Below are 12,560 nucleotides of genomic sequence, written 5' to 3'. Positions count from 1 at the left end.
CAGAGCTGGTGCACTGTGCTGGGAGAATCCCTCTTGTCAGGATCGGCTGCTCTCTCAGAAGGTACTTTTGCAATGTGGAGCCAGGTACCTGCTGAAGGTATCGTCCTACTCTCCTACAGAAAGTATGGGATAGGGTGTCTATTCTTGCTATTGACATTTCCAAGCAATAGTAACCAGTTCCATTTCTCAGCTTCAGGAGTGTCCTGGAGTCTTAGCTCTGAATCTTCTAATACCATCAGGTCACAGAGCGATGGAGGCTGAGGCTATGGCAGAATCATCTAGGCCTCCTGGAGCAGAGGACACAGGGCAGTGAAACCCTAACCCCGAGCTCCTTTTTTGTGTTTTGTTTTGTTTTGTTTTTGTTTTTGTTTTTTGAGACAGAGTTTCGCTGTTGTTGCCCAGGTTGGAGTGCAATGGGGTGATCTCAGCTCACTGCAACCTCCATCTCCCGGGTTCAAGCAATTCTCCTGCCTCAGCCTCCCAAGTAGCTGGGATTACAGGTGCCCACCACCACGCCTGGCTAATTTTTGTATTTTTAGTAGAGACGGGGTTCCACCATGTTGGCCAGGCTGGTCTCGAAATCCTGACCTCAGGTGATCCACCCGCCTCAGCCTCCCAAATTGCTGGGATTACAGGCATGAGCCAAAGCGCCCGGCCGCTCCTTTTTCTTTATGAGTGTCTTGAATATACTTGACTGTATTCTTCTATAAACATTTTAGAATCAGTTATCAAATTTTACAGCAAATCCTATGGTAATTTTGATTGGGATTGCACTGACTCTTCACATCAATTAGGAAAGAGCTGACATTAAGAATATCTCTTTATTCAAAAATATGTAGTATTTTCATTAATCATTTGGAATATCTTTTAATGCTCACATAATTTTCTCCATATAATTTTGAAATGTTTTTTAGGTATATTCCTAGGATTCTTACAATATTTGTTGCTGTCACAAATGTCACTTATACGAGACTTTTTTTCCTAATTGTTGTTTGATGAGATATAAATACACAAATAATTTTTGCATATTAATCTTATAACAAACCACCTGGCTTTACTTTAATCAATTTCTACAAATTTTAGATAGATTATTTTGTGTTTTCTCCATTATATCTTCTGTGAATAATATGTTTTGTCTGTTCCCTTCACATCCTTAGTTTCCCATGATTTTTCTAGTCTGATGCTGCTAGTTAGACATTCCAACTGAATGTTAATTTGAAACTATTAATTCTTTGCTAAATTTCTATCTTTGAAAGAGATGCTTCTAATATTTCACCATTAACAATAACATTTGCTATAGGCTTTTGGCAGATATCTTTTATCACGTTAAGTTCATTTCCCTTCTTATTTTGCTAAGAATTTTTCTCCTGAATCAGTGTCTGTTTTTTAATCAAATTATTTGGAGAGTTTTTAAAATTTAAAGAGTTTTTATTCTGAATCAGTGTCTATTTTTCCTCAAATAAGTTTTTCTCTCAAGATGATCATATGCTTTTACATCCATTTTCTGTAATTTTATTTGTAATAAATCATTTGTGAATTTCTGGGATAATGATAAATTGCTTTTAGTAGATTGTATAGTTTATAAATTTTTAAATTTAGATTGGCAATATTTTCTTTAAAACTTTTGTTTGTATATTTATGAATGAGAGAGGCTGGCCTGTCATTTTCTTTTTTTTTTTTTTTAACTCTCCTTATCATGTCTATGTATCAAGGTTATACTGGTCTCATTGAATGATTTGGGCAATATCCTCCCCCTCTAGTTTTCCATTATCTGGAAGACTTTATATTAGATTGAAGATATAATATCATCAAAAGTATATTAGAGCTTGCATGTTAAAACTTGGGCCTGGAATTTTTCTTTCTTTAGGCATTGATCAATTTTTATAATAATTTTAGGACTGTTCAGACTTTCTACTTCCTAATTGAAAGTTTGTAGTTCTATTTTTAATAAATTTATCATTTTTTCCTAAGTTCGTACATTTATTGGCAAGCCTCTCTTCTATTCCCTCTTTTCTCTTTTTCTAGGACTCTACTCAGAGTGGTACTTTGGATTGAACATTTTCATTCAATCCTACATGTATATCTCCATTTTCATATTTCTATTCCCCTGGCTCTCTGCTCTTGTTTTGTGGGTAATTTTTCAGATATATCTTTACTGTTAACTCTTTGGCTATGCTTTTTCTGCTATTTAACCTGTTTAATTAGTTTTTACTTCATTTCAGCCATTAAATTTTCAATATCTAGAAGTTCCATTTGGTTGCTTTTCTAGAATTTCCTGCTCATTTATGAAAGTCTCTTGTGGCTTGGTCCATCAGTGAATTCAGCTTTTTTTTTTTTATACATTGGCTATTCTACATTTTGCGTCTGACAATTTAATTATCTTAAGGTTTTTATGGGCTAAATCTTTTTTTTCTCTTTTTTCTGCTGCCTCATTCATGATATCTTGTCTCCTTATTTGCTTGATAGTATTTAGAAACTTATGATTGACTTTAGTCTGGGAATAGTGTGGCCTTACATTGGGAATGCTTTTCTTCAGCTTTTGTTTCTGTTAAGGGTCTCTGGAGTATCACAGATCTAGTTGGACCTTTTAGGGTATCCTAGCTTAAGATAGGCATTTCAGCTTCAGCTTCCTTACTTCACTGTCAGCCAAAAGTTTAAGGTATAATTGCAGTAATATTAAGGGCACCTGCTCATATTAAGGGCACCTGCTCATAGTAAAGCCACCTGCTTGAGGAGCAATCGCATTTCTCTCACTTGCTTACCTCTCACAGCACGCACTTTCAACTACTACTCAAGTCCTTTTGGGAGAGGGATAACAGATTTCCCCTGCTTCCTGGAGCTGAGCATGCACTGAGAAATATGTTATTCATCATTTAGTTATGTTTTTGTAGGAGACCGTCTCAGAGAATTCAGTCTCCAGCATTGCCAGATGTAGTTACTCTTGGATGATGGTTGCACTAGTGTGGAATTCCTTCAGCTGTTTGAAGATGTTATACCAATATTTTCTAGCATTTATTTATTTTTGTTAAAAAGTTTACTGCCAATGCAGTTACTATTCTTTGGTAAGTAACTGTTTTTACTTTATGGTAACTTTTCAAATTTGTATTTTACCATGTCATTTCTAAGGTGAACTTTAAAAACTCCAGCCTTGGAATTGGATATCCTTTTGATTTTACATCTCCTCTCTTCATTTTGAAAAAAAAAATCAGTCATTATCTCTTCTGTCATTACTTCTCTTCCCTTTTTTGGCAGGGAAAACAAGTGGTGGAGAAAGTCCTATTCAATCTATCTTGTAAATTTTCAACTATTTCCTGTGTCTGCAAACTGTCTTCTTTCTTCTCTTTCTTCCTTCATCCCTCTCTTTCTCCCCTCCTTTCCTTCTTCTTTTTTTCCTTTCTTCCTTTCCTTCTTTTCTTTCTAAATATTTTAACCTCTGCCTTCTGTTTGTAGTGAATACTCTATTTTTAAAATTCTAAAAATATGCCACTTTTTATTGTAAACTGACAATTTATAATTGTGTAAATTTATGGGTTACAAAGTTATATCATAATCTATGGATAAAATGTCGAATAATTAATTAAATCAAGTTAGTTAACATACCCATCACTTTAAATACTTAACATTTTGACGTTAAGAACATTCCAAATTTACTCTTGTAGCAATTTTGAAATGTGTGATACTTTATTATTAATCATATTCACCACACTGTGCAACAGAACTTAGAAAAAAGTATAAGGCATATTCTTCCTAGGATTCTATACACTTCGATCATTATTTAAATTGTTTTTTTTTTTTTTTTTGAGACAGAGTTTCGCTCTTGTTGCCCAGGCTGGAGTGCAATGGCATGATCTCTGCTCACTGCAACCTCCACCTCCCAGGTTCCAGTGATTCTCCTGCCTCAGCCTGCCAAGTAGCTGGGATTACAGGCGCATGCCACCACACCCGGCTAATTTTTGTATTTTTAGTAGAGATGGGGTTTCATCATATTGGACAGGCTGGTCTTGAACTCCTGACCTCAGGTGATCCACCTGCCTTGGCCTCCCAAAGTGCTGGGATTACAGGTGTGAGCCATTGTGCCTGGCCTAAAATTTTTAAATGAGACAAAACATCAATTTCAAAACAGCATCAGAAAGTGAGCATATTTAACCATACTCAGCTTATAACAGAGCAAATGGGTAAATGGAAGAATATATCATGCTACTGAATGTTTAATGAACTGGAAACAATAGAAAGTTGGTTGAAGAAAGGCAGAGGAACTTTGTCTTATAAGAGGCAGAACCTAGGGGCTCCATAGTCACCTGACATCTGTTCAGAGTTTTATCTATGGTTAGAAATGTACGTGTTAGGAACTCCAGGATTCTTTTGGATTCTTTTTTTAAGGTCCTGGTCAACCAAGGACACAACGTAACACTTGTGAGTTACTCTCTGTACTAAGCTGTCATCTGCATAGGTTTCTTTGTGTGTCCCCGGTAATCATTCTAATATTGGATCCTTAACAATCCTTACAGCTGCTCCATACTTCTGCCCTAATTTCCCAATTTCAGCCATTACACAATCAGTTATACAAGGGATACACTTGGCATACAGACAGTCCATCATTGACTACACTAAGTCCAGTTTGGTTTTAATGGAAAATTTGATAAAGTTGGTGTCAAACAGGATGTGGTAAGGTGGGCCCAGCTGTGTATTATATTGGAAAAATAACCAGGAAGGGTGTTGAGGAACTTTTCTTTTCTTTAGCATGCTGGGATACTATTTTTCTTTCTTTTCACGTTTTAGTCTATCCTATTCTTTAAGCCTCTGATCTCTGAGACTAAGCATTCACTTCATGGTCGCATACTTCCTGTTTTATTTTGCTTCCCCATGTTCATGCCACACTCTCGTTTCTCCTATTATTATCTTTAAATTGAATTATTCCTTTATTCAACAGTACTATATATGGCTTATTAATTTTAATTTCAATGATCATATTCTCAATTTCCAAAAATATTGATTGGTGTATTTTTATATCTACCTGTTCACATTTTGTAATATCTAGTTTTGGTTTGGTTTGGTTGGCTGGTTTGCCTATTTGTAATGTTAGTTATCTTCATGTATTTTGAAGTTTAATTTTACATCCTTTTCAATGACACACTGTGGTTTTTCCTCTCTCTTTCCTTATCTTTATTGGCTAATAGTTTTGCATTATCTGCTGGATCCCTTTCCATAAAGAGATCTGTTCTTCTTTGATATAATTACCTCTGGAAATATCTCATTACACATCGGTTAACTTCCTTTCATAGGTTATCTAAGTGTTGCAATATGATATAGACATAATGACAATATGATTGTCTGACAGTAGTTGGTTCCTATCACAGCTCCAATAGCAGAGGGACCGAGAAAGCTTCTAGATTTTATTTTCTCTCTAAAAACAAAATATCACTTCAAATATGAAAGAAGAATTAGATCAACACCATATAATTCTTATTCAACCTTACTCCATACAAGAGGCATAAAGTACTTGGTACACAGGTCTTCACTTATTCTTCTTGTGATGATGGCAGATTTTTACTAAACTTTGTAGTATCTATCTGAGCCAAGATACAGCTGCAGAATTCTCCACAAGGAGCTCTTACCAAGAGAGAAGGGATGATATTGCAGAAAATCTGTGATTTTAGCTCTGAACTCATTACTTTCACCTTTTTCTAATATGCCAAATTTACTTATTTTATTTTTTGAGACAGAGCCCAGGCGGGAATGCACTGGCACAATTTCGGCTTACTGCAACCTCTGCCTCCCAAGCTCAGGCAATCTTCCCGCCTCAGCCTCCCATGTAGCTGAGTCTACAGCCATGCACCACCATGCCTGGCTAATTTTTGTATTTTTAGTAGCAATGGGGTTTCACCATGTTGGCCAGGCTTGTCTCAAACTTCTGACCTCAGGTGACCTGACCGTCTTGGCCTCCCAAATTGCTGGGGTTACAGGCATGAGCCACTGTGCCCGGCCCATGCTGCATTTACTTATTGCTAATATGCACCAGTAAATAAATGTATCCATAGATCCAGGGAAGTGTTAATGTCTCATATGACTTAATTTTTGATGTGTCATTTTTCTTAAACACACTAGGATATAGAATAAGTAATTTTACAGAATAAATTCTATTTGAGCGGCAATAATTATCAACTGGAAGAAAAGAATACGGACAAGAAATGGGTTGGCAGAATAACAGCATAAAAGCACTTGAGAGAACATTTCAAATTGTATTCTCTAGGTTGTGAATATGTGTGTGGGGAGTGGGTGTGATGAGAAAACAACTTCATGATAAAATAAAAATCTAGATTAAATAAAGCTAAGAATACTTTTTTTTTCTGAAAAGAATTCTGAAGAGAAGGAAATGATAAGCATTATTTCCCAAAGGTCATCATCCATGGAACTCTTTTCTTTCTTAGGAATTTTATCAGCTTCTCTATTGTAGGACTGATATGCCTCACTATATTGTACTAGCCAGCATCCTTTCTGACTGCCAGACAATCACTTTATTAGTTTCTGCCTGTGCCATACCAGTTGTTAAGTATTTTGAAAATCACCTTGTATAGGATGCATTTTAGAAAATTCCATTTGAGGCTGGGCGAGGCGGCTCACGCCTGTAATCTCAACGCTTTGGGAGGCCGAGGCGGGCAGATCACGAGGTCAGGAAATTGAGACCATCCTGGCTAACTAGGTGAAACCCTGTCTCTACTAAAAATACAAAAAAAAAAAAAAAAAAAAAAAAATTAGCTGGGCGTGGTGGCGGGCGCCTGTAGTCCCAGCTACTCCAGAGGCTGAGGCAGGAGAAGGGCGTGAACCCGGGAGGCGGAGCTTGCAGTGAGCCAAGATCCTGCCACTGCACTCCAGCCTGGGCGACACAGCGGGATTCCGTCTCAAAAAAAAAGAAAATTCCATTTGAGAGGTGATGTCATTGATGAGTCACAGATCACAGATAAAATAGGATTGGGAACATTTATCATATTTGTTTATTTTTCTTGGTTTCAGATTTTGTATTCTATGCAAAATAAATTTCAATTTGCATATTAATTACTATGTACCATGTAAAGTACCAATGTAGGCATTATGATGTAAAAACACATTTATTTAAAACACAAGTAATTCATGTCCAATAGAAAAATATTGGAAAGCACAGATAAACAAAAATTTAAAAAGATAAAATTAAGAACCCAATTTTGGAGCTTTCCTCCCTATTCTTCCTGCCAAGTACAGCTAAAACCCCTGAACATTATGTATAAAAAACAGAAGAAGGCTTTGAAAGGTAGAAAGAGGAAAGTAGACCAGCTAAGAATCTTAAGACCAAGAAATAACATACTGGAGAGTTCCTTGGGTTTTCTTTTTGCCTCATATATCCCAGACTTGGAGCTGAAGAAGCTAGCAACGCGAAACACCCAGGGCAGCGATGTAACCAATGAAGATTCAAAAGGATGACTTATTCTTTTTAATTACTCAAAAACACTGCAATTTCACAAATTTTTTTTTGAAAAGATTCCTTCTCTTTTAAAAGTAATCAGTAAATTCTCTATTGCTTAAGTCAATTCATATAGGGTATTAGTTTCCTATTACTGTTACAAATTACCACAAAATGTGTGGCCTAAAACAACACAAATATATCTTACATCCTGGAGGTCAGAGGTCTGAAATGAATTGGCAAAGCCGCATTTCGTCTCTCTAGGGGAGAATCCATTTCCTGGCCTTTTTTCAGCTTCTAGAAGCCATCTGAGTTTTTTGGTTCATCTCTTTTTCTCTCCCAGTCTCTTTTATACACCACCCGCTCTGTTTTCATTACCAGATCCCTTTCTCTGACTCTAACTCTCCTGCTTCTCTCTTATAAGGTCACTTGTGATGACATTGGGATTGCCCAGGTAATAATCTAGTTAAATCTCCCATTTTAGGGTCCTTCACCTAATCATCTCTGCAAAGTCCCTTTTGTCATATAATGTATCATATTCACAGTTCCTGGGGTTTAGAATGTGAATCTCATTTCAGAGCCATTACTTTACCTATCAAATATGGCATCTGCTTTCCTTGGATTCTATAATACTATATTGTTAAATTTTATATTTCTTAAGTGTCTGGCTATTTCTTTACAAATTCCCTTTCAGGTTTTACTCTATGCTCTTTCCTTAATTATTGGGGCTTCTCGGGTTTTATTCTTAGTAATTGGGATCAATCCCAAAGTAAATCCTAAAAATTACCATTGTATTTCTTATCCTGTGCAATCAAGATAATTCCCTCAGTGGATTATAAAAATCTCTATTATATTCCTGACTCTGCTATTGAATTTTTACACAAGTAATCCATAGACGTCTCACATATAACATGTCTCAGACTGAAAGCATGTTTGCGCCTTCAAAGGTGCACTCTTTTACCCATTCTTTTAATGTCATTTCCACGCACCCTTTGCCTAAGTCAAAGTCATCTTTACTTCCTCCATCTCCTTCCCTTCCCCAAATCATTAGGGACCTGAAAAGCACATTAAATTGAATTTCTTTATAAATCTTTCTCCATATGCACCAACACTCCTCAATCTAGTCCAGCTTTGTCTTTTCTCTGTATTTTGGCAACAGACTTCTAAATGGTCTTAAATCCAGGATGACTCCCTTCAAATTCATTCTCTGTATTGAAGCTGGACTGGCAGTGAAACAAGCAGCTATGCCCTCTTTGTAAACCACAAATCTAATCATGCCACATTCCTATCTAAAATCATCCAGTGACCCTTAATTGATGCTAGGATAAAAACAAAACCATTTTTTACAACATAGTATGAAAGCTCCATGTCTTAGCCTGTTTTCTGCTGTTATAAGAGAATTAACACAGACTAGACAATTTCTTAAATAAAAAGAGATTGAGCTCATAGTTCTAGAAGCTGGCGAATTGAAGATTGAGGGACTGCATCTGGTAAAGGTCTTCTTGCTGTGTCATAACGTGGTAGAAGGTATCACTTGGCAAGAAAAAATGCATGCGAGACAGAAAATGGGGGTCAAACTTACCCTTTTACAGAGAGACTACTCTCCAGATAATAGCATAATTTGTTCATGAAGGCATGTTCCTTATGCTTAATCACTTCTTTAAAAATCCTACTTTTTAATACTGTCACAATGGCAATTAAATTTCTACATAAGTTCTGGAGGGGACATTCAAACCACAGTACTCTTGTGTATTGAGGCCACTGGTTTCCACTCTAGCTTCATTCCTCATTGTATTCTTTCACTTCCTTAGATGCTCTATTCACTCTCTCATTCTCTCATTCTCCCTTTTCTCCTCCTGACTCTCCCGTATACTGTTCATGCTACTCTTTTTGTCTAGAAGCTATTTTTCTCACCTTCTCATCTGGCTAACTGCTATTCTCTTTTCAGATTGCCAACTCTTCCAGGAAGCCTTTTCTGGCTGTGAATTCAGGTCAAATGTACTTTCCTAATGTCTCCTTTAACACTCCTCTTCGTCTCAAATTACCTGTTGCCCCTTTTTATGCCCATGATTAGCACTAGACTGTAAACACCATGAGGACAGGCATAGCATTTATGTAATAGGTATTCATTAATTGTTTGATGAAAGAAGAAAGAAGAAATTATTTTATGAAATACAAATTGGATGTGAAGGATTGTAAATTTTTTTTTTTTTGCAAAATAGAAATACCTTTTAGGTGAAGTAGCTCATGTTTTCTTAACAAGAGAGGAAAGGAGAAAGAGAGCCATGATAGTTTTTAATATCTATCAAGCATATGCTCGAATTAATACTTTAACTCTCAAGAGAAGATAAACTTTAGTTTTAATTCAAACATATTACTGGTAAGTTAATGTTTGGATATTTTAACACTGATATTTTTAACTGTTTAATGTCTTTATCATGAACCTTTACTATAATAAAAGTAAATAAACACACAAAATCTCACACTGTTTTTAGAGTTGACAAACATCATTTTGAATTGCTGACTGTTATTGTAACTACATGTAAACTAGAAATGAAACACTTGCTGAACTTAATATTGATCGAGTTCCATAAGATTAGGGCCATGAAAGCAAAGCCATTGATGTTTTAATGACAATAATTAGAAAAAGTTTAGGCTCAGATTTTGCATCTTCATTTCAGTAGCGTCCTTCTGTAAGTCTTAAACACATCTTAAATTGGACTTTAAGAATTATAAGCTAAATGCAAGAGTTCTAATTGTCTGAAGGTCGTTTGTATGTTAAAACTGCTAAACTCTAAACATCTATGTGCTTTGGTGCCCCGTTTTCTTTGATTTGGAGTTTAGGATGAGAGACGTTGAGCTCCAAACTCAGACTAAGAAACTATAAGAAATATGCTTCAATGAAGAAGCTGTTCAAAAATGGTAATTATTCCTGAAACTCTGTAACAAAAAAAAGTTTTACAGATTATTTATTCAATTGCCTTCTCGAATCAGAAAGTTTTTTATTTTATTTTTCCTCTCTAACTGTTATAGAGTAAGATTGTTTCCTTGAGGCAAGAAAGAAATGCAGAAGTCTTGACAAACAAAAGAAGAGATTGCCTTAGGGAAGGGGACTACAGTGAACACTGAGAACTTCTTCCCACGCTAAGACAATCTTTACAGAGCAAGACTCCGTCTCAAAAAAAAAAAAAAAAGTAAGCATAAGAAGGCAAAAGGTGGTGTGACTCACTAGCTTTTGACTATATAATTGAACATTAAATCTTAAATTATTTGGTCATTCGAAAAATGCTTATATATGCTAAATGGGTAATGTTAATAATACTACCCTGCTGTTGATAAAGATCATCCATCCTTAAAATTTTTTTAATAAGCTCACAAGCCAGAGTTGCTCAAGTTTAGGAAACTGAAGGATAACACACAGTAATTATAAGTAAAAGTAAGAAGGAGCTATAGAGAGAAATCCAGCATACCAAGGGATCTTTAAAATGAAAGAAATAATAAAGCCCAGCTTAGTAGTATAGGAAAGCCATTCATTTTTAATCAAAATCTGTATTACCAATTTGGGAAAGTAACTTTTATTTCTAAAGAATCAGTTTATTCTTCTGTAAAAGAAGCTTCTGTCTGGGGAGTCAGTGATTATGACAATTTCCTATTTTAGTGGGTATTGTATTTTTCTGACATGTTCTGAGTAAAAATATCAAAGGGACTAAAAATATCAAGGAGAAACCCCATGAGCAATGGGGTTTCTCTGTAAACATCTGCTGCATTCCAGTGGTGATAATCAAGGACATCAGTTCTCACGTATTTACTTTCTCATTGTGAGAAAGAAATGAAATTAGTGATAGCCCATATTAGCAAATGTGTATAATCCCAGCTTTTATCGACAGCCCAACTTCAATACCTGGGTGTGTGATTATTTTGCATGTAAACAGATGTTAGGATGGAAAAAAAAATAAGAACTACTGATGTACAGGGATAGGAAGTAGAAAAGTAAATGCTTAGAGATGTCTAGATATTAAATAATTAAGTATAAAAACATTAAATCGAGTCCCATTTGATGATATTTTAGTTAAATATCAAAGTTTTTTTCATAACTTGAAATGCTCAGGTCAAATCTCTTTAAAATGTCATGGATGACAGCTTTATAAAACTGTGTGAACCCATCATCCTCATGAAATGTTAAACATTGATGGTTCTAAAGAAAGTAAATGCAGATCTCTTGAATTTAATAGAAAATTTTTCTAGGTTTTTTAAACTGAATATATCACCATATTGAGGCCAAATATTCTTAAAATGAAAGGAAATAGCTATGTCAATTTATCTCTGAAAAGAAAATTATTTGGTAAATTAAGATAGATGTAAAAAATGGGTGAATAAAGAGTTAGATACTTAATTGTGATAAAAAATATTGGGAAGAAGAATTGAGGATTCAAAGGAGAGTGGATAGCTGTGGATATTAACAGCTTCTCAAATTGCGTAGTATTATTGACAAAACATGAGTGATCATGTGACCACATGTTTGGCAGCCATGAGACCAATACATTTCTTAAAACTAAGAATATAAAAAAAGAAAGTTTTCATATTTTTATCATTTTAATTAAGCCACTCTAGCTTGATATATCTCTGTGATTTTCCGATTTTCCTCTTTGTAATTGTGTGGAGTGCCTTTGATTTTGAACTATGAAACCCACTTGAAGATTTTAACATGTTTTTGTCTTGTCCTTCTCTTCAAGAATAGTCTTAGAGATGTTTTCAAAACACATAAATCAAAGACCTCGGATAAAATCTATCTCACACCTTCTCTTTGATCCTATTTTATATGTCCTTGAATGCTTTTGCTCCTTTCATAAAGTGAACAGAGTTTCAATTTTGCATTGCTGCTTTTCCAATCTGACTGTCAAAGATATAAAACTAATTCTTTCCATTTCACTGAAAGTGACATTACCCTGTTCTTTCCCTTTCTCCTTATTAAACAAACATCGCTGAATCATTAAGTTCTGTTGCACGTTAATATTAATTAGGGATATAGCCTTACTTATGAAAATGGTGAAAATTCTAAACTATTTAAGAAATAAAGAATAAAGATGCCACCCTTGAAGGGCATTGAGGTTTTCAGCATCATAAC

General features: G+C 35.2%; 1 pseudogene; it reads right to left on the bottom strand.

Moving 5' to 3' along the window:
• FCF1P3 (FCF1 pseudogene 3) lies at positions 4,192-4,888 on the bottom strand (annotated as a pseudogene).

This window comes from Homo sapiens, chromosome 3, assembly GCF_000001405.40.
Source record: "Homo sapiens chromosome 3, GRCh38.p14 Primary Assembly".
Taxonomy (NCBI): domain Eukaryota; kingdom Metazoa; phylum Chordata; class Mammalia; order Primates; family Hominidae; genus Homo; species Homo sapiens.
This window is presented reverse-complemented; position numbering and strand designations above follow the sequence as displayed.